At 42.1% G+C, this 27,763-nt stretch overlaps 2 long non-coding RNA genes across 2 annotated transcripts in view, besides 1 other annotated feature; one reads left to right on the plus strand and one right to left on the minus strand.

The window, feature by feature from the left end:
- Positions 1–1,519: 1,519 nt before the first annotated feature.
- LINC01744 (long intergenic non-protein coding RNA 1744) lies at positions 1,520–16,981 on the minus strand. Its single transcript, NR_110683.1, has 4 exons — positions 16,633–16,981; positions 9,967–10,016; positions 4,841–5,047; positions 1,520–2,955 (listed from the first exon to the last, which is right to left on the minus strand). It is a non-coding gene; the product is annotated as a long intergenic non-protein coding RNA 1744 (long non-coding RNA).
- The window catches only part of LOC107983960 (uncharacterized), a 28,789-nt gene continuing 8,908 nt past the window's right edge, over positions 7,883–27,763 (plus strand). Inside the window, exons 1-3 of the long non-coding RNA XR_949277.1 lie at positions 7,883–7,957; positions 8,748–8,936; positions 24,242–24,392. This is a non-coding gene — a long non-coding RNA (uncharacterized LOC107983960). The remainder of the gene's footprint in view (positions 7,958–8,747; positions 8,937–24,241; positions 24,393–27,763) is intronic.
- Positions 22,557–23,756: an enhancer, noted in NCBI's record as "MED14-independent group 3 enhancer chr1:232884037-232885236 (GRCh37/hg19 assembly coordinates)". NCBI's record gives its function as "activates an origin of replication core promoter dependent on BRD2, BRD4, P300/CBP and CDK7 cofactors, and independent of MED14, by STARR-seq in HCT116 cells {active_cell/tissue: HCT116}" and the evidence as "EXISTENCE:reporter gene assay evidence [ECO:0000049][PMID:35650434]".

The raw sequence follows: 27,763 nt of genomic DNA on the forward strand, positions 1-27,763 counted from the left end.
TTCCACACACAGTTGTGAGGCCTCTTGGTGTGCTTCCCCTCCTAACCTGCTAAGAGGGAGACTTGGGGCTGTCACTTAGCTTTCAGACTTGTAGGGAAGAATGTGATCCCAGATTAGCAGAGCATGTAAGCCATGTTCTCTCCCACCCAAATGCTCAATTGGTCTTGTCTTTCACTATCTCCAGTTCCTAAGATGAGTCGTCAGTACTGGGGTGGGGTTGGGTGGAGAGGCAAGTACCTAGGGTAGGGGCTTGGAGATAGAGCTCCCCAGGCACTTCAGAAAGAGGTTCGTTCAAAGTGACATAGGGTTCTACATGGGAGCATTCCAAGAAAAGGGACGCTGAGGACAGATGTCACTTCATGTCTTGCTGCACCTGTGAGCCCATGCCATCCTCTTGTAATTTGCAGGTGTGTGTTTTATAACTGCTCCCTGGGCAGTTCTAAATGACAAAGCATTCGTGCTGGCAGCACCCTCTACTTCTCACTTACTCCTCCAGGCCTCTGGCGAACACAGGGCTCAGAGGAACTACCTTCTTCAAGAATCACGGACGTGGCTGGTTTTCTCAGGAAGGGGTCTCGGCTGAGCATTAAAATAAAACGGTGCTTGGTTTTTGTACAGGAAACCTTTTCTTCCTTCAGTTTCAACAACCCCAGGCATTACCTACTGTAGCTGATGCTTTTGCTCTTACCATATCCTGCTACCTTTCCTGTCTCCAAAGCCCTAAATAGATTCCTCAAGGAATGTCTTCCTAAATTCCCTCAGGCAAGAGGAGGAAGGGCTGTCTTTATTATGTCTTTACTCTAAAGTCTTTAGCATAAAAAAGCAGCTCTGGATTCATTTCATTAATAAAACAGAGTGAACAAAAGTCCTCCTGCATCAGTTTTACTCATGAGATCAAATTGTGTGATAACCACTCACCCATACCACAGAAACCACACAAAACTGGACCTGCCTAAGGAAGTTAAACTTAGAATCCCGTTTCCCCTTGGGGCTGAGTTTCCATTTTCTCATTTATTAAATAACTTGTAAACTATTTTTTAAATTAACTAGCTCTTGGTCCAGGAGCTGTGGCTCACGCCTGTAATCCCAACACTTTGGGAGGCCGAGGCGGGCAGATTACCTGAGGTCAGGAGTTCGAGGCCAGCCTGCCCAACATGGTGAAACCCAGTTTGTACTAAAAATACAAAAATGAGCTGGGTGTTGTGGCACATGCCAGTAATCCCAGCTACTCTGGAGGCTGAGGCAAGAGAATCACTTGAACCCGGAAGGCGGAGTGAGCTGAGATCACGCCACTGCACCCCAACCTGGGCGACAGAGCAAGACTCCATCTCAAAAAAATAATTAATTAATTAACTAGCTCTCTAAACGTTCAATAAAACTTATCCTGAGCCGCATGTTGTGCCTGTGTGGTCTCACCCAAGGGAAGGTGAGCACATTCATATTGGCTGGTGAAAATCCAGGCAATATGTCTGTATGGTTCTTAAAGAACTGAGAAACAGCAAGAATACGCACAATATTTGTAAATAACTTGAGCCTTTATAAAATGATCCTTTTTTGGAAAATACACAGAAAAAGTTGTGCGCAGGTTTACCTAGAATGTCAATTGGAATGAAGACTGTGATGGCTTAGCCATCACAGGTCATTCTTATAGAAGCAGCATTGTCTGTGAAAGGCTTTCAGGATTCATCCTTAGAAAGGGTTTATTTTCCTCTCACTTTCTCCACTGGTGTAAGATTACAGCTTTCCAGCGTCTCTTGGTGAGAAGGAAATACAACTTGATTCCTCTGTCTGATAAAGTAGGCTTGGGGCTTTTTTGTTTTTTTGAGATGGAGTTTCGCTCTTGTTGCCCAGGCTAGAGTGCAATGGCACGATCTCGGCTCACTGCAACCTCTACCTCCCGGATTCTAGCAATTCTTCTGCCTCAGCCTCCTGGCTAATTTTGTATTTTTAGTAGAGACAGAGTTTCTCCATGTTGGTCAAGCTGGTCTCAAACTCCTGACCTCAGGTGATCCGTCCACCTTGGCTTCCCAAAGTGCCGGGATTAGGAATACAGGCGCAAGCCACTGCGCCTGGCCAGCTTGGGGCTCTTAATGGCTCCCTCCTTGCTTGTAGGCAGGGCTGCAGCATCTGCCTTCCCTTCTTCCGCACTGCACCCTTCTTCCCTCGGACTTGAACTTTGCATCTTGGTTCACTCCTGGGTGTTCACCACTGTCCTTCTGATTGCTATGTCCAGCAGCAGCACATGACCATCCAAAGGAAGCCACTGTCCCTTTAGAGTCATGCTGGAGTTTGTCAGCAACATTTACTAGGTACCCCCTGCCTCTTTGCCATGAGGTCTTGGCAGGTACATCACTTATGACAAATTGTTTTCAGATTAAGAGAGGTCTTATTGGGAGCAAGGGAATTTAATTAAAGTCAAAGCCCAAATTCTGGCCAAATGAGTGTCCTCTGTATGTATGGCTGATGCCTAGGTTCTCTGTAAATACATCAATACCAGGGAGCTCACCTGTCCTCTTCCTTCCTTCCTGCTAATGGGGACCCTAAGATGTTTAGTGAGAAAAAAGGGTAACTTTGTTTCTTTCCAAACTACCTTCACTTGGACACATCCATGATGAATACCCTCTCTCAATCATCTCTGAGCTCCAGGTAGAGCTCCCTATGAATGGACATTCCTGTGACCTCTTCCAGATCTGGGATATTCCAGAAGATGATGTATGGAAGAAGCTGTTTTTCCGCAGAATGCTCATTTGACTTCCAATATTTGTTAAACTGCATCTTATATGACTTCTGAATCCAAAGAGTCATGGTGAGGAATCCACCAACCCCAGATGGGTCCACGACTAGCAGGGATTCTTCAAACTCCTTAAAGTTGTCTGAACTTTTCTGTATGTGATTTTTATTCTCCAGAGGCGAGAATCCACAGTGCTCATGGTGTATTCAAAGAGGTCTGCAACACTGAAAAGATTGAAAACAGATGTTTACTTGGACTACTTTTCTCATTCTGGTATCCCATGAGACTCTGATGACGTTTGCAGCTTTGACTCCAAACCCAAACCTAAAAAATATTTATCTGAGAGTGTCAGAGTAAAATTTCTGGGTAAAATCTCTGCCTGCTGAAGAAGGCACTTGTACTTCTAAAGAGGGCATGGCACGCCCCTACCTTAATATGATTAATGATTTCCAGCAATATTTGAGGCTTCCTGGGCAGTACCACAAATCATTTCCTACTTTTCACAATAATTACCTTGATAAGAGGCTTCCTTAAGAAAGACCAAAAAAATTTATCTGGTCCCTGGACACTATCCTAAGATCTTAGTCAATTCTGTCCCAATCCTGGGCTTCCCCTGGGTCAGCCCTGTCTTCAAAGCTCAGAGTCATACTTACAGGATGGCAGAAGAATCACTTCATCCTAGGAAAGCTTCCTCAGAAAGCTGAGAAGGTGTCCCATGTTTGCGGAACGACAGAACTCACTAGAGGAGCATTGTATTTGCTAGTGTGGCTGGGACTTGGAGGGCCACAGCCTAAGATGGTCAATATGGTGGGTCTTATCAGTTCCGGGGGCTTCTAACTTCAGTTGCCTCTCTCTCTATGATCCCACCCAGTCTTTTAATACTTCCTGCTCTGATCAACATTAGGGGCTATCACCTTTCCACCTTGTGCAAATGCCTGATGATGTTTCTTTCCCCCGCCCATCCCTCCACCTTTTTTGAGATGGAGTCTCACTCTATTGTCCAAGCTGGAGTCCAATAGCACGATCTCTGCTCACTGCAACAGGGTTCCAGTAATTCTCCTACCTCAGTCTCCCGAGTAGCTGGGATTACGGGCATGGGCCACTACTCCTGGCTAATTGTATTTTTAGTAGAGTTGGCATTTGGCCATGTTGGCCAGGCTGGTTTCAAACTCCTGACCTCAGGTGATTCACCCACCTCAGGCTCCCAAAGTGCGGGGATTACAGGTGTGTGCCACCGTGCCCGGCCTAAATGCCTGATGATATTTCTTTACTCCAGATGTGCATTCTAACTTCTGTTTATCATCACTGGGATGTCCCTTGGACAGATTAATCAGCATCTCAAACTTAATATGCTCAAAACTTTATTCTTGATCTCTGGTCACAAATATGCCTGTTTTCTTGTGTTCTTCATTTAGTTATAAATGCATATCTTCTTCCGGTTGATCATACGAAAAAATTTGGGTGTTACCTTTGAAACTTCTCTCTGTGATCCTCCTTAACCAATACATCAACAAGTCCTGGCTGGGCATGGTGGCTCATGCCTGTAATCCCAGCACTCTGGGAGGCCAAGGTGGGCGGATCATGAGGTCATGAAATTGAGACCATCTTGATCAACAGGGTGAAACCCCATCTCTATTAAAATACAAAAATTAATGGAGCATGGTGGCACATGCCTGTAGTCCCAGCTAATCAGGAGGCTGAGGCAGGAGAATCGCTTGAACCTGGGAGGTGGAGGTTGCAGTGAGCCGAGATGGTGCCAGTGCACTCCAGCCTGGTGACAGAGGGAGACTCTGTCTCAAAAAAACAAAAACAAAAACAAAACAAACAAAAAACAACAAAAAAAAACACAAGTGCTGTCTATTCTATCTCCAAATTATATCTCATATCTACCTACTTCTCTCCATTTCTACCACCTCCACCAGGTTACCATTGTGCCTGGTGAGAGGGTTACATTTCTGACATGATTCCATGCTTGTCCCTCTCTGATCCTTTTTACCTCATGCAGCCAGAGTGAATTTTTAAAAAGGCAAATCTAGCCACTGCCCTTGCCAGCTTAAAACACCCACAATGGCTTCTTATCGCATGTGGGATGAAGTCCAAACCTCTTACCTGCAGGTGACAGTTCCCATGAGATCTGACTCCTGCCTCTCTTGTCAGCCCCATCTCTTGTTCCTCCTGGCTTTGTGTCTGCATTCCAGCCACATTGGCCTTGCGGGACCTTCAACACGTTCAGTTTGTTCCTCTACAGCAATGGATCTTCATTCTCTCTCTCTCCTGACTTGGGATTAGTGGGAAGATATCACAGATCACTCTATTCTGTAAGGAGAGCAGAAAAAGAGCATCCTTCAGCTTGAGAAAGACCTAAAAATTCTCTCTCCTGTACCACACAGTGGAAGTCATTGATGTTATGACACTTGCTCTATTATGCTACGATACCTGGTCCCACCCCAGCTCTAGCGGCTTAAGGATTGTTGTTTCATCATTTTATATTCACTGAGTATGATCCCCAAAGGCAAGTTATTTTAAGCTACCACTTATTTAAAGAGCTATGTTCACAAATGGAAGGTAGCGCCAAGCTATCTTTTCCTTTAGGGTCCAATTTGTGGCTGCACTAGGTCCACCGAGACCTCAATTCTACTTTTAATCATTAAAGAGGCCGAGGAGATGTTATCAAATTTTCTCCCATAATATTTAGAATAAATAAAATGATCTTAGACAATGGGAGAGAAACATGAACAGAATAATGTGTGTATAATTTTAACTTTTGGTAGTGTAAGCATTTGAATAACGTTGGTTTTTAGAGATTTCGTATTTTCCACTCTTTGCTATAAAATTATTAAGCACATACAAAAGTAGAAAATACTATAATAAACTCTCATGTATTTGTTACTTAGTTCAATAATTATTAACTTGTGGTTGATACTGTTGCACAAATGCCTCCTCCAATGTTCCATTGTTTCCCTCCCAAACTCAGTTCTTTTCCAGCAAATCCCTGACACATCATTTCATCTGAAAATATTTTACTATGTATTTCTGCAAGTTATGGGCTTATTATTATTATTATTTTTTGAAACAGAGTCTCGCTTTGTCGCCCAGGCTGGAGTGCAGTGACACAATCTCAGCTCACGGCAACCTCTGCCTCCCAGGTTCAAGCAATTCTCCTGCCTTAGCCTCCTGAGTAGCTTGGACTACAGGTGCGCCACCACACCCAGCTAATTTTTGTATTTTTAGTAGAGACGGGGTTTCATTATGTTGGCCACGCTGGTCTCAAACTCCTGACCTTAGGTGATTCCCACCTTGGCCTCCCAAAGTGCTGGGATTACAGGTGTGAGCCACCACACCTGGCCAAGGGCTCTTTTAAAACATGATCAAAACATAAATATCGCACATAAAATTATTAATAATTTCTTAATATCATAAAATATTCAATCTATTCAAATTTCTAAGATTATCTCAAAGTATTTTACAGCAGTTGGTTTATTTGAATCAGGATCAATAGATACACATTGCGTTTGGTTGATATAACTCTTAAGTTTCTTTCTTTTTAAAATTTTTTTTGACAGGGTGTCACTTTGTTAACCAGGCTGGAGTGCAGTGGTGTGATTTTGACTCACTGCAGCCTAGACCTCCTGGGATCAAGCAATCCTCCTGCCTCAGGCCCCCAAGTAGCTGGGACCACAGTTGCATGCCACCATGCCTGGCTGATTTTTGTATTTTTTATAGAGACAGGGTTTTGCCACGTTGCCCAGGTTGGTCTCGAACCCCTGGGCTCAAGTGATCTGTCTGCCTCAGCCTCCCAAAGCGCTGGGATTCCAGGCTTAAGCCACTACGCCAGGCCCCTCTTGTTTATTTTAATCTATAGATTTCCCTCTCTATATTTTTCTTTTCAATGTGTTTGTTGAAGAGATTAAAGAAACCAGGTCATTTTTCCTATGAATTTTACTAATTGCATCTTCATGGTGTCATTTAACGCATTCTGTTTTCTTAAAAGCTGGCAATTCAATCTGGAAGATTTATCAGATTAAATTTCTGTTTTTTGGCAGGAATGACTCATAGTTGTGTACTTTCATCAGGAGACACATAATGTCTGATTATCTCCCTTTATGGGATGTTAAGATTGATTGCTGGGTCAAATCTTGTCAGTCTTTCCATAATTTTAAAGTTCCCCATCAGTTTCTCATCTAACAGTTTTAGCAGTCATTGGTGATCACTGCCTACATCCATTACTTTACTAGGAGTTCTGAAATGATGTCATTATATTAATCCTTCTTCATTTAGTAGCTGGAGTGCTGCTATAAAGAAAGACTTTTCTTCATGAGCTATATGATAATCCCTAAGCATAGTTTGTAAAGGAAAAGCAGAATAAATGCTTGACTGTTTTCTCAGTTTTAGAATAGTTCCCTAACATCTGCTAAATGTGACCAAAGACCAATGGTGGCTCATTTTCAGTATCATTTTGAACTCATGAATGATACAATATTAGAAGCCTAAATATTATTTGCGGTTACTATCCTTTTTGAGAACCCAACTGTCCCATCTTTAGTGAGGGTGTCTCTTTAATTTGGCTTCTCAACCCTTTTGACATCACCCTAGTGATCTTTAAAAGATTTCTCTTATGTTCTAGTATAATAAGATGCTCTAGCTCATCTTGTCTATTTCCTGAACCAGATCTGACACAGTCATTTCTCCAAAGAGACTTCACGTGCGAAACGATGTTGCGAGATCACAGTCTGAGCACTAGACGTGCTCCTTGCTCCATATTTCTTTGCCCCTTTCAGTGGACAAGGCTATATAAAATATGCACTTTTAAAAGAAAAGGATACCTTACGAGCATAGTGACATAGTCAGCTGAAATAGAAGACAGAGAAATTTTACTTTTTGATTTTATATTTGTGACTCTAATCACTTATCCTGAAATTCTTGGTTCTGGCAAAGTTAACATAATTATTTGTTTTTACCTTACATGTCTTAGTTTCAGAAAAATGATGCCCAAATCATTCAATATAAATATTGAATACAGTTTAAAATTCCTCCGCAGTAGGACATGCCTGTTACGTTTTTCTGTTTTCAAATAACTACAAAGATTTTCTTAACATTATAAGAGTAATATTCTTAGAGGAGTGTAGAGCTGAGAGGAAATACTTTTGTGTTTATAGCGAAAAAAGTATATTGAAGTGGAATAGTTGGTCAGATTACACAGTGGAGACGATGGAGCCTACTAAGAAGGTAAGACTCCCACACTTGGACTCACTTCAGCCTTCTTGTCAAATTGGCATCGGTAACTATGACACACTTACTGGCCACAGCTGTGGGAGAATATCAGTGCACTAGCAGAGATTTTTCTAATGAAACTGCCTGACATACACAGAAAAATGGGTGACAATTTACCACTAGATTCCCTTCTAAACAGTCTACAAACATTCTTGTCTTCTACCAACCCCCAGAGTAAATTCACCCCTTTGCTCAAATTTTAGTTCACCTAGAACCTAATAAATGGTTAATATTATCTTTTTTTTATGATGGCGTTTTGTCAACAGATTTCATTATTTTGCCTTTAGTATAGAGCAAGTTTTGCTCTATTCCCTTTGGGAATCGTAAACAAGGTGTACTAGCCTTCTGGTTAAATGGTGAGCATGCCACCCAGGTGAAGTGCATCCGCATCTGTGTTCTTTAAGAGATGGTAACTGGGATTCGCTGTTTTATACAAGAATCACCAGAATAGCATTTATGTAGCTTTCAATAAAATATTTTCTCAGGGGACAAACAAATAGTAAGTCATTTGGATATTAAATACTAGGAAGAGTGTTTTTTTGTTTGTTTGTTTTTAAGTAATGTACATGGGCAGTGCTCTGCCCATCCTGATTTTTGTGTAAAAATTCTCCTTTCCATCTCTCAGCAATAAAAACTTATTATGGTCATACAGGGACCCTGCAGGGGATAGACACTGTGCACACGTAGCCTTCTTGCATTTTAGTATCATTACTTATTAAGTTGGTAATGTGCTTTGGACCCGCAGGAAGTCAAGTCGTCTTTGAGAGCTGCAGCATGACTCGATTAAGTGATCGAAGTCCTTAAACTCAGGGACTGAGAAGACCCATCTTAGCTCTACCCTGATGTGTTGGGTTGTTTTGGACAAGGCACTTAGCCTGTCTATGCCCACCTACTATGAAAGCATGCTGCCTAGTATGAAACCTCCAGGGGCATGGTAAGAAAGTGTCCATGGTACTCCCAGGGTACACTTTTATGGACACTCAAGAGAAACACTTATCTTCCTCACTCTACATAAAGTCTGTTCTCTTGGTTTATGCTAATTTTGTATTTGCAACCCACATTTCTTTTTTCTTCTCCTCTTTGATTCATGATCTATTTGAAGGTTCTGCTCAAGAATCTATTTCTGACACTCCATTCCTGAGTGCCACTGCCAGTTTTGATTGTCTTTTTCTCCCTTCCCTTATTTTACAACTAAGCGGTATAGATGTGGAGGGATTTATATCACCCTACAGAGGAGTTTTTTTTTTTTTTTTTTTGGAGACGGAGTCTTGCTCTGTCGCCCAGGCTGGAGTGCAGTGGCACGATCTCGGCTCACTGCAAGCTCCGCCTCCCGGGTTCACGCCATTCTCCTGCCTCAGCTTCCCGAGTAGCTGGGACCACAGGTGCCCGCCACCACGCCCGGCTAATTTTTTTTTTTTGTATTTTTTAGTAGAGACGGGGTTTCACCGTGTTAGCCAGGATGGTCTCGATCTCCTGACCTCATGATCCGCCCACCTCGGCCTCCCAAAGTGCTGGGATTACAGGCGTGAGCCACCGTGCCCGGCCCCAGAGGAGTTTTTGTGTCCTGCTGTGTCCCAGGCCCACGCCCCATTGCAGTGTGCTGCAGTGAGCATTGCTTGCATGTGAGCATGTAGGCTCTTTGGAGGTCTTCCTGTGGGTTTCAAATTTGTTTATCATTTCATGTTTGTTGTGGTTTGAACATGACACTGATGGATCTGTTTAAAAACCTCAACCTTTTCCAACAGAATATCACATTTATAACTTGTAACGTTCACTTCAATCAGCAAGGTCAAAAAGTTATAGTTAGGTGTAATGACCATGAATGTACTGTCATCCCACACATGTCAAAGGCCTCCTTGAGAGCTCCTATGTTTGCTGTGGCCACATTAATTATTTAGTGGTGTGATAGCTTACTTTCTATTTCTATGCTAATTTGAAACTTTGGAAAGCAACAATCACATTACCTCAGTCCTTTGCTGCCTGTTATTTTTGATGAATGATTGATTGTGGTGCCCTTTTTAAAAAAAAGATTAGCAGTCAGAACAAGATATTGGTTAGAGACAATGCCTACCGTCACCTATGCAAGGACTAATTTCATAAATGTTGTGTTCCAAGAAGAGTTTTGTCCTGGCAAATAAATGTGTATGCCTTCTTTTATCACAAATTTTAAAATATTACCTATAAATATTAAAATATATTATAAAATATATGCACATATATTATATTATTCTGTTTTATATGAAAGAAAACTTTGGCTGGCCGCGGTGGCTCATGCCTGTAAATCCCAGCACTTTGGGAGGTCGAGGCAGGCGGATCATGAGGTCAGGAGATCGAGACCGTCCTGGCTAACACGGTGAAACCCCATCTCTACTAAAAATACAAAAAGTTAGCCGGGCGTGGTGGTGGGCACCTGTAGTCCCAGCTACTTGGGAGGCCGAGGCAGGAGAATGGCATGAACCCAGGAGGTAGAGCTGACAGTGAGCCAAGATCACACCACTGCACTCCAGCCTGGGCGACACAGTGAGACTCCATTTCAAAAGAAAGAAAACTTTATCTCAAGTTCATTACCAAATGCTGCTTCCTTTAAAGAATGGTGGGGATTTTTATTTTAAGTATCTGCATTTGTTTAAATCCACAAGTGTTTCCAGTCCTTTTGCAAATCACCGCTGCATATATACTGTTTTAATTTTTACTGTGGAACATTAGGTCCAGGGGAGTCATATAGGGTCGGGAAATAAATATCACTCTAGCATCTATTCACTTCCTTCTTGATTTTGGCAATTTTAGTGGGTGAAGGAGAAGTTTCTCTCTCTATTTAAAAAACAAATTTTGTAGGTCTTCGGCCCTAAATTTTCTCCGTTTCTTCATAGCAATACCCCATATCATTGTTTCAATTCTTCTTCATAACATGATAGAAAAAGTGAACCATGTTTGTCCAAAATCCAACATCCAAATTGTCAAAAATCCAATTTGTGGCAGTTTTCTTGACTCCAGGTCATTGGACAAATGCCTTTAATAATGAAACCACAGTGGCTTGTAATATTTTGCCTTTGTGTTTAGGATCTTTTTCACTTCAAACAACCTCCACAATCCTGCTGTTAGGGTATGTGCAGTAATCGATATCCTGTATTTCCCGACTTGGCTGCAGAGAACAGAACATCCAGTGCACATGCCAGCCTAACATGACAGCCCCTTAGAGTGACAGGCATTGCCTTTTTTTACTCAGATTTATTTCTTACCCTGCCCCCAAAAACAACAATTTTGCAGACTCTTGTGCCAACTGGTTTCTAACTAGATTCAGAAACAGAGAGGCACTGGCAGGAGCTGGGAGGATGAGTGGAATAGAGAGGCCAGAGTATTTCTCCCTCCTTCCCTGACACTCACCTGCTTCCGTGGCTTCTCCAGCAATGACTGAGTCTCCTCTGCAGTCCCAGATCCTACTAGCTAGGCCCTCCCTCCATGACCCTAGCCTCTTCCTGGGCCATCTCATAAATCCACCTCCCCTAAGTGGTCCTGGGCTTGGATTCTGAATACGCCCTTCATATTAGTTTCTCAGGGCTGCTCTAACAATGTGCTACAGACTGGGTATTTTAAAACTACAGAGATGTATAGTCTCACAGCTCTGGAGGCTGAAAGTTCAAAATCAGGGTGTCAGCAGGGCCGTGCTCCCTCTGGGACTCTGCATAGAATCTGTCCTCACCTTTTGCAAGCTTCCGGTGGTGGCCACAATCCCTGGCATTCCCTGGTTTGCAGCTGCGTTATTCTAGTCTGTCTCTGTCATCAGAAGGCCGTCTTGCCCCTATGTCTATCTCTGTGTCTCTTCTCTTTTCATAAGGACACTAGTCCTATTAGATTAGGGGCCCACTATTCCAGTCTAACCTAATTTTAATTTAAGTCATTACATTTGTGATGACCTAATTTCAATATACCTTTTTGAGGGGATCCAATTTGACCCATAACACCGCCTTCCTGTGTGGTCGCAGCTTGCCGCTATTGCCAATCTGATGTATCAAGTTGTTTGGGGCAAGTCACTTAGTTGAATCTCCTCTGAGATGCAAAGAACTGATGTCTTCTTTCACTGCCCCTTGTTGGCCACTTCAGCTCTTCCAGCACCTTCCTAACTAGTTCCCCTAATTAAATCCTTACCATTGAACTGTTTCATCTGGGCTTTATTTTTCTGAGTAGACCTTGATGGCTACACCAATAGAAGAGATATTTCTCCTTGTTTGTTTCTTTTGTTTCATATTCCTATTATTCCCTTGTTAGTATTGGTTTAAAGAGCAACAGAGGATAGTGCCAAACCTTTCCACTAGATGAAGAATTAGAGCAGGTGGCTCTCTCCCCCAAACAAGAGCTGCCAAAAAACATGTATTCACTTCAGAAAAATCCTTCAGCAGACTGATATACACCATGAGGCAATAATCATGATTAGCTTTTCTTTTTAAATTCTGAATGGGTACGACATCAGCTCTGAAACACAAAGGAGTGTCTAACAGATGTCAATCATTTGGCCTCATCAGAACGAGAAACAGAACAAACCAAAACAGTAACTTGGAATGTTTTTAATTTTCTTGGACTCCACTCCATCTCCCACATGGCATTATTTCTCAGTGAGTTGCTTTTATTTTCATTTGGTGCAACCCTTTATTTTCCTACAGAAACGTTCATACCTGTGAAAGAGACATCATAGTAGAAACCAGCTATGATGCCCACAGAACAGCTGTGGCCAAGGAATACTGAGATTATCTTCTCTGTCAGTCCCTGCAGGCATGATGGAGATGCTCTCTCTTTAGGTCCACTGGGTTAATTTGGCTCCCTGAAGACCCTGACAAAATGCCTTCTGTGGTGGCATTTTTGTTCCAGGAAAGCATTTTGTTAATTTTGTGATATAAAATACGTCTTGGGGTACATGGGAAGTAAATGATGATCAAAGAATGGGCTATGAAATCTTTCTAAAAAATGGTGGAGGAAACTTTCAAAGGCTGGATCTCAATGCCAATAAAATAAGGGCATACCAAAGGACTTCAGTTTTTTAAACTTATTTTTAATCTATTTAGAGACATGGTCTCACTCTGTCACCCAGGCTGGAGTGCAGGAGTATGATCATAGCTCACTGCAACCTTGAACTCCTGGGCTCAAGTGATCTTCCCACCTCAGCCTTCCAAGTAGCTGTGACTATGAGAGTGTGCCACCACATCTGGCCATCTGACTATTTTGTTGTTGTTGTTTCGTAGAGATGGAGTCTCACTATGCTGCTCAGGCTGTTCTTGAACTCCTGGCCTCAAGTGATCCTCTCACCTTCAGCCTCCCAAAGTGCTGCAATTACAGGAGTGAGCCACCATTCCCAGCCCAGTTTTAAAATTATTAATGTTGTGCAGACATCTAAAGACAGCCCAGAATGGGTAATTTGATTCATTAATTAATTGACCATTCATTCATTCATTCATTCATTCAGCAATGTTTACCCAGTGCCTGTTATATTTGAAGCCTGATTCTAGATAATGGGAATATATAGTGGAAAATAAGAAAGTCAGGGATTTTGCTCTCACAGATCTTAAACTCGAATAAAAGAAAAGACAGTTAATTAGTAAACAAGAAAATGACAGTGAATGATAAGGGCTTTAATAAAATTAAAAGAGGCAATGTGATAGAGATAGCTTGGGTGATTGCCTGGAAATCATCCTGGTTCCTCCCTTTCTCTTTGGGCAGGTGATATGGTTTGGCTTCGTGTCCCCACCCAAATCTCATCTTAAATTGCAGTCCCCAGGTGTTCAGGGAGGAACCTGGTAGGAGGTGATTGGATCATAAGAGCAGTTTCCCCCATGCTATTCCCATGATAGTGAGTGAGTTCTCACAAGATCTGATAGTTTTATAAGTGCTTGGCAAGTTCTTCCTTTGCTCATTCTCCTCTTGCCTGCTACCATGTAAGACATGCCTGCTTCCCCTTCTGCCATGATTGTAAGTTTCCTGAGGCCTCCCCAGCCATGTGGAACTTTTGAGTCAATTAAACCTCTTTCCTTTATAAATGTCCCAGTCTTGGGTAGTATTCTTTATAGCAGTGTGAAAACAGACTAATATAGCAGGGCAAGCCTCTCCAAGGACATGTCACTTGGGCTGGGGCTGAATGATAAGGGAGGCACAGCTTTGCAAAAGACCTGGGGAAAGAACATTTCAGGCAGAGAAAATATGAAGATTAAATTCTGAAAAGCAGGAATAAACTCAGGGAGTTGGAGAACCATAAGCAGCTGGCACTCAGAGTATACTGAGTTGTGGAATATGAAATCAGATTAAGTCAGAGGCCAGTAGGCCAGGAAATGTAGGGTCTTGTTGGAATTTCAATTTTATTTTGTCATCAGTGGGAACTTTTTGGAGGACTTTTAAACTATGGAAGAGAAATTATACAATCTAAGTGTGTAGAATAGACTTCAGAGAGGAAAGAATGAAACAAAGGAGACCAAAGAATTGTCCAGTGAGAGATGGTCCCTGAATTGGTGATGGTGGCCCTGGCAATGGACAAATATGAACAAATGCAAGGGGCGTTTTGGGAGTAGTGTTCACAAGACTTAGCAATGAACTGGGTGATGGGATGTAGTAGGCAGACATTAGGATGACCTCTGTTTATCCTCACCTCCTGATATTCATGCCCTTGTGAAGTCTCCTGTGTTTGAATATGGGGTGAGCCTATGACTTGTTTCTAACTAACAGAATATAGAAACAGTGATTGCATGGCACTTCTGTGAATGCAGTACATAAGATCCAAATGTCCGTTTTGATAGCAGACTCTTTATTAGCTCTCACCCTTGCTAGCATTGATGAAGCAAGTTTCTGTATGGAGAGGCCCTTATGGCAATTAATGATGTCTGATCAATAGCCAGTAAGGATCTCAGGCCTTCAGTCCAGTAACCCACAAAGAACTGAATCTTGCCAATAACTATGAGGAATTAGATAATTCCCCACTTGAGCCTCAGATGAGACTGCAGCCTGGGCAACGCCTTGATTGCAGCCTTATGAGAGACCCTGAAGCAGAGGAAGCTATGCCTGTATTCCTGCCCATAGAAACTGAGATCAGAAGTATGATTCAAGCCACTAAGTTTCTAGTAATATTGCTACACAGCAAAGATAATGATTATATGGAATAAACAGGAATGAAGAGTCAAGAATGACTTCTTGAACAACTGGATAGAAGGTAGAATAATTTACTGAAATGGGGAGGCTTGGGAAAGAATTCTACTCTTGAGAAATCAAGAGTAGAGGTTTCAAATAAGTGGTTGGATATGCACATAAGGAGCGTAGTAGAGAAAGGTGGTTGTCAGCAGCCTATCACTGGCATTTCCTTTATCCAGATGTGTAAAATCAATAGCGTAATTACCAGATCTCCCCTGCTCAGGAGTGCTGTGTAGGCTGGCCTAGGACGTGGGTTCTTCTTTTCTGCTCCTCCCCACTTTGCTGGACTTTATTCCCCTACACAACGCTTTGGTACCTCTGCTATTACCATATTCTCATTCTGCCTGTCTCCCTTTGCTCTTCATATCCTCCTGTCCTAGGTCCAGCTTTCGTAGCATCTTTTACCAAGATTTATTCCAGACAGGGGATCCTTTCAGATCTTCGCATTCTCTCCTCATTTCCCAGCCTGATCAAAACATGCCTTTCGATGCTCATTCACCAAGGATTCTGCTACCACATAGCAAATATATGCTGAGAGGTGGTGCTGTGTACGGAATATGGATTTGGAGAAAGGTTGGAATTTGAACTGAAAATCTACTACTCATGGGCTGAGAAAGACACATAACATCTTCATTTTCTCATCTGAAAAATAATGATAGCAATGATAGCAATGCCTACCTCCTAATGTTGTTTAAACATAAAATCACTGGAGACATAAAATGCCCAGTACAGTGCTTGGCACATAGCAGGTATGGTAAATCATACCTATTATAATCAAACTGACTTTTTCTAAAGTGAAAAAAATTATATCTGGCTAACATATTACCTTATAGCTCTTTTAGTCCCAAATTTAAAATAACCACATTCGATTTCTCTCAATGCTCTAGTCTATTTTTATCAGTATTTAAATGTGTTCCAGACACATCTGTCTTTAAAAAGAATTTTTTTTCAACCACTCCACTTTCCTCACTAGACAGCCTCATTATTTCTCCCCTTTCCTTCAGAATCATGCATTATGAGCCTTGTCTGCACTGTCTTCATTGCCTCGTGGCTACTTGTTACATTCTGTACAGTGTTCTGCACCTACTGTGCCACTTTTTTTTTTGAGACGGAGTCTCGCTCTGTTGCCAGGCTAGAGTGCAGTGGTGCGATCTCGGCTCATTGTAACCTCCACCTCCAGAGTCCAAGCAATCCTCCTGCCTCAGCCTCCTGAGTGGCTGGGACTACAGGCACGCCACAATGCCCAGCTAATTTTTTTGTATTTTTAGTAGAGACAGGATTTCACCATGTTGGCCAGGATGGTCTCAATCTCTTGACCACGTGATGCGCCTGCCTCAGCCTCCCAAAGTGCTGACATTACAGGCTTGAGCCACCGCGCCCGGCCTACTGTGCCACTTTTACTTCCAATGTCACCAAAGGCATTGTTGTTACTAAACCCGATGGCTATTTTTCAGTCCTTATCTTACCTGACCTCTTTGCAGCAATTAATTGTATAGACCACACTTCATTGTGGTAACATTCGCTTCTATCTGTGTTTCCCATAGGTGATCTTCATTCCCATGGCTTCAATGACTGACTATCCATGGGCTTATGTTTTCAGTCTGACTCTCTCCTGGACTCCTGAACTGCAAACCTAGCTCTCTTCTGGATCCCCCAAGCTCTTGTTACTCAATCAAATTTACTACTTTCCCATGAAACTGCTTCTTCCCTCATTCCATCTGTATGAATGGCACTACGGAGACTCAGCTTCCTAAGCCAGAGACCCTAAAGCCACACACCCCCCCACCACCCACTCCCTTTCCACTTCAAAGCCCTGTTGATTGTTGAGCTGCTGTGTTCTATAGATTCTGCTTCCACAGCAACTGTGGAATCTCATGACTGATCTCCACTCTCCTGGGGTGATATGGTTTGGCTGTGTCCCCACCCAAATCTCATCTTGAACTGTAACTCCCACAATTCCCATGTGTCATGGGAGGAACCTGGTGGGAAGTAATTGAATAACGGGGACCGTTTTCTCCCCTGCTGTTCTCATGATAGTGCATAAGTCTCACGAGATCTGATGGTTTTGAAAACGGGAATTGCCCTGCACAAGCTCATTCTCTCTTGCCTGGCCAGGTAAGAAGTGCCTTTCACCTTCCACCAGGACTGTGAGGCCTCCCCAGCCACATGGAACTGTGAGTCCGCTAAACCTATTTTTCTTCCCAGTCTCGTGTGTGTCTTTATCAGCAGCGTGAAAACGGACTAATACATGGGGCCACCTCATCACTGGCTGGATCACTGCACCTGCCCATTCCCTGGTCATCTTGCTTTCAGGTTTGCCCCTTTCCAGTCAGTTCTCTGCATTTAAGTGATCCTATTAAAATACAAGTCCACTCACATACTCCCCTGTTTTCAGCCTTTTCAGTGCTCTCTCACCCTATGTCTGATGTCCAAACTCTTTAGCATGGCATTTGGCGCCCTCATCATGGGGTACTTAGTGACTGCCCAGCATTTTATTCACATCTTTCCTTACCCCCATACTCCCTATTTCAGTCACACTCAACTATTTGCAGCGACCCCATATTTCACACTCTTTTGTGACCTTTCCTTTCTTCTCTTGTCTTGTCTTCTCTTTTCTTTCTTTTGACGGAGTCTCACTCGGTCCCCCAGGCTGGAGTGCAGTGGCGCGGTCTCGGCTCACTGCAACCTCCGCCCCCCGGATTCAAGCGATTCTCCTGTCTCAGCCTCCCGAGTAGCTGGGATTACAGGCGCCTGCCACCGTGCCCAGCTAATTTTTATATGTTTAGTAGAGATGGGGTTTCACCATCTTGGCCAGGCTGGTCTTGAATCCCTGACCTGGTGATCCACCCGCCTCGGCCTCCCAAAGTGCTGGGATTACAGGCGTGAGCCACCACGCCCCGCCGACTCTTGCTTTATTTTAAGTTATTTTCCCTGCCCAGTCTCTTCCCCATTGGCCTCATAATGTTTCTGGTCCTTCTGAACTCAGCACAGATGCTGTCTTCTCTGGGACTCTGCTGAGCCTATGCAGCTCTTCTGTGCACCCTCGCAGCCTCTCAGTAAAGCAATAACGTACGTTGAAATTGAGTCCTCCATCATCTGCCTCTCCCACTAGTGTTTCCTGTTCCTTGAAGGAAGGTGCTGCATCTTCTTCACAATTGTATCTCCAGCCTGGTGTCTGGAGGCACTCCGGAAATGGTTGCTCAATGAATACACACTCAGTGTGGTACCTTTTCAGTTCCTGGAATATTTCAGGCCTCTTCTCACTTCAGAACTTCTGCACTTGATTTTTCCCTATGTCAGCCAAGTTTTTCCCTGTCTTTTTGTATAATTGGCCCCTTCTAATTCTTCAGGATTCAGCTGAAATTTCACTGTGCTGGAGAAATTTACTAACCACACTATCTGCTGACCTCTTTCACAACACTAAGCACTGGTTCTTATTATCTTCTATTTGTTTACTTGTTAATTGTATGACATCTCCCAATCCTCTTGCTAAAATATAACCTACATAAGAATCAAAACAGTATCTGTTTTATTATTCACTGTATCCACAACAGTTAGAAGATGGCTGACATATGATACTTATTTAAAAAATCCTTGATGAATAAATTAATGAAAGCAATTGATGTTAACTAGCGAAGGGAACTGTTTCTAAGGAGGAATGGGAGAGATTTGAGCATGTTCGTAAAGCAAGGGGAAACTTTGAAAGTGGGCAGGTGAGAATATAAGTTAGGGCCGGGTGCGGTAGCTCACGCCTGTAATCCCCATCACTTTGGGAGGCCGAGGCGGGCGGATCATGAGGTCAGTAGTTCGAGACCAGCCTGGCCAACATGGGGAAACCCCGTCTCTGCTAAAAATACAAAAATTAGCAGGAAGTGGTGGCACGCGCCTATAATCCCAGCTACTCAGGAGGCTGCGGCAGGATGATTGCTTGAAGCCGGGAGGCAGAGGTTGCAGTGAGCAGAGACTGCGCTGCTGCACGCCAGCCTGGATGACACAAGACTTTGTCTCAAAAAAAAAAAAAAAAGAAAGAAAGAAAGAAAAAATATAAGTTAGCGGGAGATTCTCGAGAACACAAAAGGTCACGAAGATAGGGCTATGTGTTGACAACTGAATCTGAAAAGTGAAAACAAAACCGAAAGCTAGGGCTCTTCCCATTTGGAAACTGGACAAAAGAAGGTAAGGTCAGTGTAGCAGATACTGTTTTTGCTCCATCCAGCTCTCTTTGGTCACACCAGGACTTGCACAAGGGGTCCCTGAGCATGGTAGTCACAGTGGTAAAGATGGATGTGACAGATACATGGGCCAAGAGCATGGGCTCCAGTTCACCAGATCTGCCTTGATGCTCTCAGTGCCAAAAATGACAGACCTGCAGCAAGCCTTATGTACGGCACCATCCCTTAAGGAGACAAACCATTAGTGCTAAATTAATTCCATGGGACACCTTCCACCCTGAAGTGAGCAGTAATTTGTCTTTATTCTGATACATATTCTGGGTATGGGGTCGCCATCCCTGCCTGCACTGCTTCACTCAGTATCATTAACTGAAGGTTTAAAGAGTCATTTTCCAACATAGGATCTCACATTAAATTGCCATGAACCACGGGATCCACTTTACATGTGTTAGAAATGCTTGTTCCCTGGTGCCATAAAGAAATAGCACTTGAACATAAATTTAATTTCCTCAGCAAGGCCATTTTTACTTTATTTTCTGGTACACTCGCCAGCAGTTTTGCCACGCGAGGACACCGAACAAAGGAGACTCAGGGTCATTTATAACCTGACGCGTCCACCTTACTGCTGTGTCTGGTTTCCATTGGCTGGAATGGGACCTCACATTCTGTATTTGTCCTGATTGGCTAGCAACTTAGAACTTTTTAAAAGAGGCAAAAGCAGAGGAGAACAAAGGAAAGAGGAAGTAACTTGTGGAATGCTGAGAAAGGTAAAAACACCTCCAAATAAGGAAGAAGAACAGGCTATGACCTAATGCTTGCGTGGACCAGTATAAGCATGCCAAGGCAAATATTTAGGCTAAACTGCGGGAGCTAAGAACATAAAGTACATTGATTTCTTTATCATGGCTAGCAGATATTTAAGAATGTTAGCACAGGTCTTTGAATAAATTTTGCTTCTAGCAGAAGTTACTATTTATTCCTAATTAGTTGGGGAGGAAAGTCTTTGAAGAGGAATCTCTACTTTTTACACATGGAATGAGGTTTGACAATGGGCATGTTGCCATGAGATCCACTGGTCCTATCAAAAACTGTATTATTCCGATAAGTTGTCAGCCTGAGAGAATATTGGAATGGCCCCTGAGAGGCTCAGTAAAGATGCCAGTGGTGTGCCATCCCGTGTGGTTGGGGCAAGATGTGGTATACATTGAACCAAGAGCAATTATAGGGTGCTGTGTCCCCAGTAGCAAGAATATACAATCCAGAAATCAAGGAGTAGAAGTGATCTCATCATTTTCACTTCCAGAACTTACTTGGGGTTTTTGTGCATCCATTTCTAAAATTTTAAGGTCTATTGTATTAGAAGATGCGGCCTTCAGGGATGGAATGCTTCCACTAGGAGAAACAGTAAGGGTTCCACTGAACCTAAAGTTACACTGTAGCCTGGTTAATTTGAGCCTCCATGATGATAGACCAGCAGCAAAGAAAGCATTTACTCTACTGGCATGAGTAACTGATGTTGGTTATGAAAATCCAGAGAGGCTGATGCATAAAGGCACAGGGATGACTGTACTTGGAACTCAAGAGATGGATTCTCTGGGGGTACTTCTAGTTGTTTCCATGTCTGCTGATGACAATGAAAGAACAATTGTACCAACCAGGCCTGACAACAGGGAAAAGTCTCTAGAAGCTCAGACCCTTCAGGGATCAAATTCTGGGTCACACCTGATACGCTAACTAAGACCAGCAAAAAAGTCAGCAAAAGTGAGAAGAATCAAACACAGGTGGTAGAAGAGGGAGTCGACGAGTATTAATTATGGCCTCAGATCCAACTGCAGCATCAGGATATTGGCCCATCCCACTAACCTCCCTGTTATAGGTCTTCTTGGGTTTGCAAGTGGCCACCAATTTGAAGACTCAGTGACAGAACAGAAAGGAATTCTTCTGGGGCACAAGTGGATCAGAAGGCTGCATGGTGGACTCCAACAAAGTCCAGGGCCCTCACCATGTTTCTTCCTGTCTGATGGTTTCTTGCCTCTCTCTGCCTGAGAACATATTCTTGCTGCAGAGTATGCTCCACTTGCATACAGGGGAGGCCTGCAGTGATGGAGAATTAATATCCCCAGAAATGACCCTCGACCAATGAGAAATGGGAACTATGGATCAATACCCCAACTATCTCACTGCTCAGTGCGGGGATTGGGAAGCATGGTCCACACAGTCTCTTACAGGACTGCCCAGTAGCCCACAGCACAGCGGCCTCTGATGCTCCCTTTGCTCGCTTTCCTTTCTTCTCACCCTTGCTTCTCCAGGCTGTCACAGTGACTCTTGGTGTCACCTCCCATAGAAAACTTGCACTCAAAGTCTTATATTGGAATTAACTTCTGGGCAAGCCCAAATTTTATTCATTTCCTGGGGCTACTGTAATAAATTACACAACCTGGGTGGTTTGAAACAATAGAAATAGGTTATTTTACAGTTTTGGAGAGTTTGCAATCAGTCTGGGCTGAAAGCAAGATGTTGGCAGAGCCACGCTCCCTCCAGAGGCTCTAGGGAGATTCTGCTCCTTGCCTCTTCCAGCTAGCATGGTAGTTACAGTGGCAAAGATGGATGCAATAGGTATGTGGGCCGACAGCATGGTTCCAGTTCACCAGATCTGCCTGGATGCTGTCAGTGCCGAAAACGAGAGATCTGCAGCAAGCGCTAGGTACAGCACCATCTCTTAAGGAGACAAACCATTAGCACTAAATTAGCACTGTAGCCACTAATGGAGTTACTACAGTACTGGCTGCTGGCATTTCTTGGCTTGTGGTTGCATCATTCCAGTCTTTGCATTCATCACATGGTTCCCTTCTCTGTGTCTGAGTGTCAAATCTCCCTCTACCTTATAAGGAAACTTGTGAGGACATGCAGGGCCCACTGTGATAATACAGGATGATCTCCTTATCTTAAAATCCTTAATTTCATATTTGCAAAGATGCTTTTATTCAAATAAGGTAACATTTTACAGGTCCTGGGGATTAGACTTGCTCTCTGGGGGGCTGTGGTGGGGTAGGGGAGGGGAGATTATTCTGCCCAACACACAAACTAAGATAGATGGATATAGATGTAGATAAAAGTTATGCATGGGGTAGCTTGGCAGTAGTGAGTACATTAGCTGTAGCAGTAGATATATTGGTGCCAGATTGTATAGACCTTGAATGTCAGACCAAAAAGACTGCCCTATACTCTTTAGATATTACAGAGTACAGTATATCACAGCGAGCATTATCTTCCTAAATTTATACTTGAAAGAATAGGTTGAGAGAGGTCAAGTAACTTAAAGTTTATGAAATTCACATGTGGTGGGTTGGAATCCAAAGCAAGGTCTATTTGGTTCATAAGCAATGCTTTTTTCCACTTTACCACACTGCCTCCTTCGCTTACCGGGCTCAGGCAATTCTCCTGCCTCAGCCTCCTGAGTAGCTGGGATTATAGGTCTATGCCATCATGCCCGGCTAATTTTTGTATTTTTAGTAGAGATGGGGTTTCACCATGTTGGCCAGGCTGATCTCAAACTGACCTCAGGTGATCTGCCTGCCTCGGTCTCCCAAAGTGCTGGGATTACAGGCGTGAGCCACTGCATCCGGCCTCTTCTGCAGATTTTGTTGAAAGAAGTTAATTTGCAGAAAGAAATAGAAACACCACTAGATGCAGCTCCAGAATTTTCTATTAACATTAGCTTTTAACTGTCAGATACAGTAAGTCCTTTCCAAAGTTCTAATTTCTGACTTCCTCGTTCTTTGTTCTCAAGATCAACTTCTCTGTCCCTTCTCCTAAGCTACCTGCTTTGTAAACAACTTCTCCTGCCAGTCCCACTCTGTAAATCACATCTCTTCCTTATTTGGAAAGAGTCCTCTTTACTCCTGGCTACCCATTCTGTAAACAGCCCCTCCCACCGAAACTACCCTTCCTGCCAAAATTACCCTTCCCCCATTTGCCCCACCTGGACATGCCCAAACATGCCTTGTACAATAACAGACAGCCACTCCCTTCCCGCCTAATTAGCCATATTCAATTTTAAACAGTAGCCAGTCGGGTCAGTTTAGCCTGTGCGGTCCTACTCCAGCCAATGTGGACAGGACACCAAAGCAGGGACTAACCACATTGGGGATAAAAACCCCTTCCCTCCTTTGTTCCGTGTGCTCTTGCAGTGGCCACAAGTGCAAGCAGCATCCTTCTGCAGAAGTAAATTTGCCTTGCTGAGAAATCCTTCATTTGAGTGCTCGCTTTCCTTGCGACTCCGAGCTCTTGTTTCTAACATAACTCTGGTGGTTTAATGTGCCTGTTACTCACATTTTATAAATAAGTGGGGATTTATATTGAGATTTATACTCATATGCAGAAAATAGTTCTTTTTCCCCTGTAGGTGGTTACTTCGGCAAGAGACACACTATTTTTTGTTTGAGAGAGAAAGTATATGTGTGTGAGAGTATATATGAGAACATTACATGTATTTGAGAGTACAGTTGTGCATAATGATGTTTCAATCAACAATGAGTCAAATATGCAATGATGGTCTTGTGGGATTATAATGGAGCTGAAAAATTCCTATCACCTAGAGATGTCATAGCCATCGTTATATTGTAGCACAACATGTTACTCATGCGTTTGTGATGATGCTGGTGTAAACAAACCTACTGTACTGCCATCATAAAAAAATCTAGCACATATCATTATTTATTATATGTAATAGTTGATAATGATAGTAAACAATTATGTTACTGGTTTATGTATTTATTAGGCTATACTTTTCATCATTATTTTAGAATGTACTTCTACTTATATAAAAAAGTTAACTGTAAACATCACTTAACTGTTAACTGTTTACTGTTAACTGTAACTGTAACTTAACTGTTAATGGTAGAAGCCTCAGGCAAGTCCTTCAGGAGGAATCCAGAAGAAGGCATTGTTATCACAGGAGATGACAACTCCATGCGTGTCATTGTCCCTGAAGACCTTCCAGTGGGACAAGATGTGGAGGCGGAAGACAGTGATATTAATGATCCTGACCTTGGGTAGGCCCAGGCTAATGTGTGTGTTTGTGTCTCAGTTTTTAACAGAAAAGTTTAAAAGTTAAAAATGCTTAAAATAGAAAAAAGCTTATAGGATAAGGATATAAAGAAAGAAAATATTTTTGAAAAGCTGTACAATGTGTTTGTGTTTTAAGCTAAGTCTTTTTAGAAAAGAGTCAAAAGTTAAAAAAATTAAAAAGTTTATAAAGTAAAACAGTTACAGTAAGCTAAGGTTAATTCATTATTGAAGAAAGAAAATTTTTAAATAAATGTAGTGCAGCCTAAGTGTACAGTGTTGATAAAGTCTATGAGAGTGTACAGTAATGTCCTAGACCTTCACATTCACTCACTGATTCACTGGAGCAAACATCCAGTTCTATAAGCTTTATTCATGGTAAGTGCCCTCCAAAGAAATATCTTTTTTTTTGTCGTTAATGCTGTATTATTACTGTACTTTTTCTATGTTTATAAATGTTTAGATACACAAACACTTACCATTGTGCTACAATTGCTTACAGTACAGTTCAGTAACATGCCATACAGATTTGTAGCCTGGAGCAATAGTGGGTGCCATGTAGCCTAGGTGTGTAGTAGGCTAGACCATCTAGGTTTGTGTAAGTACTTCTGATGTTCACACAAAGATGTGTGAACACATTTTCTGCCATTGAGCCACACATGACTATGTGAGTGAAAGTACCTATGTGTGTTTATATGTGTAAATATATATATACACACACATAATAGTTTGTATGTATATATAATATGTATTATATGTATATATAATAATTTGTTTATGTATAATAGTTTATATATAATGTGTATACTTTTTTTACTTAATGACAAAACATTAGCACAGAAATATCCCTCTTGATCAGAGTCAGACTCCTAGTAAACATTCATCTACTTGAATAAAACCTCAGGGTCTAGAAGCACGCAAAAAGCCTCCACGTACCTGAAACAGTTTACAGAAAGACACTTCACCAAGCCACACTCTTCTTCTTTTAGCCCCCAGTCTTAGTGGCAATTATCCACAGTATATATTTTTGTAATATGCATAGCCCTGTGGTTTCCTGTTCCACAGAAAATTAGAAGTAGAAAGTTCAGCAAGAACACAGGGGAGCATTAGAAGTCATAAATGAAGAGCACAGGAGCTGCTTGATGTGGCCAGGTAAAATCAAGGACCAAGTTCACTCCATTACCACCCAGAAAGGGGAACATATTGTGACGATGATCTTGTGTAAATATGTGGTTAATGATGTTGAGTATCCTCTATTTAAGAAGGCAGAAAAGTGAATAACATATTTGAAATGCTATTTACATCATAATGGTTAAGTTGTTTAAAGCTTTATTTTTGAATAGATGAGCTTTAGTTAGAAAATTGGCTAGTGGGAAAGAACTTCTTTCCTAAAGCAAATAGGAGATTGCTACAGATAATGTTTCTCATCTAAAACGCTAAGTAGGTAGATCAGAGCACACAGGTCTGCCACCCTGTACTTCCCATTTCACCCTGAATCCTTTCCAGGGACAGGAAAAGGGCATCTTCTAAGACTACATTCAGATGGCACAGGAAGAATAGAGGTGATATTGAGAGATCCTGAAATTAAAATGAATTTGGAAGATAGAAAGCAGATGGGATTACATTGACAAAAACAGAGAAAACCACAGCCCAACATGTTACACAGAAAAAAAAAAAAAAACCTACTAGGAAGACAAGAGCAGTTGTAGAGAAACTCCAAGCTGAGTATTAACAATTACGGAGAGCAGAAGGAGGCCCTTTGGCAATGATCAGGGTAATTAAAGAGCCGTCTGCAGAACGCAGGGCTCCGCTGCCGGTGACTCCCTCCTCAACTGAAGAGGAAACCCACACTGGTCACCTATGTGGTATTAACTCATCCAGTTCTTCATCCTTAGGCATAAACGGACATGCTTAAGGGAGGAAACCATTAAATTAAAAAGGAAGTAAGAGAAAGAGACAGAACATTGACCCTAGAGAAAACAGAAAATCCACAATAGAGAAATGAACTGCCAAACTTTCTATTTAATATCCTCCAGAGGATTCAAGATGACATTGCCCCCTAAAACAAGAATAGACTTCTATGGAAAAGAAACAGAGGACAAACAATAGTTCTTAGGATTATGGAATTACAAAAATAGAGCACTTACTGGAAGGAATAAATAGAAGAACAGGCACAATAAAGGACAAATTAGTGACCTAAAACAAAGGTCAGAATTTTTTTTTTTTCTGTGAAAGGCCAGATTTTAAATATTTTTGGTTTTCCAGACTATGTTGTCTCTGTCACAACTACTCAATCTGCCAGGGTAGTAGGCAAGTAGTCCCTGACAATATACAAAGAAGAAAGGGTTTATTTACAAAATACTATACAAACAAGAAAGAGTTTATTTACAAAATTCACCTTTACTTACAAAAATAGGTGGTGGACTGGATTCGGCCCATGGACTACAGTTTAGTGTAGTTTAGTGACCTGTGACCTAAAAGATAAAGTTAAGGAAATATTCCAAAACATACAGCAAAAAGATAAAAAGATGGGGAAAGAGTTCAAAGACAGGAAAGCTCATTTCAAGAGTTCCAACATATCTAATATGGTTTCAGAAATAGAAAAAAATTAAATGGAGAAAATTATAAAGAAAAATAAAAATTTATCATAGCTGAAGAGAAACATAGATTTTTTTTTTTACATAAAAAGAGCCACCCACATATATTATAAGAGAAATAATAATCCCTAAGCAATATAAATTGATAAGATGCATCTAGAATGTATCTTTTTTTTTTTTTTTGAGACATTCTCACTTTGTCATCCAGGCTGGAGTGCAGTGGTGCCATCATGGCTCACAGCATTCTCCCACCTCATCCTCCTGAATAGCTGGGAACACAGGTGCATGCCACCATGCATGGCTAATTTTTGTATTTTTTGTAGAGACAGTCTCACTATGTTATCCATGCTGGTCTCATACTTCTAGGCTCCCACAGTCTTCCCATCATGGCCTCCCAAACTAATGGAATTACAGGCATGAGCCACTGCACCCAGGCTAGAATGTATCTTTATGAAGTCTTAGAGCTATAGAGAATACAGATATTTCGAAAAACTCCTAGAGGAAAAATAGATTACCTATGTAGAAATTAGAATTATGTTGTCATCGAAATTCTTATTGGCAAAACTGTATGTTGAAAAAAAATCTGGGCCGGGCGCAGTGGCTCACACCTGTAATCCCAGCACTTTGGGAGGCTGAGGTGGGTGGATCACAAGGTCAAGAGATCGAGACCAGCCTGGCCAACATGGTGAAACGCTGTCTCTACTAAAAATACAAAAATTACCTAGGCATGGTGGCAGGGACCTATAGTCCCATCTACTTGG

Source organism: Homo sapiens, chromosome 1, assembly GCF_000001405.40.
Source record: "Homo sapiens chromosome 1, GRCh38.p14 Primary Assembly".
NCBI classification, from domain to species: domain Eukaryota; kingdom Metazoa; phylum Chordata; class Mammalia; order Primates; family Hominidae; genus Homo; species Homo sapiens.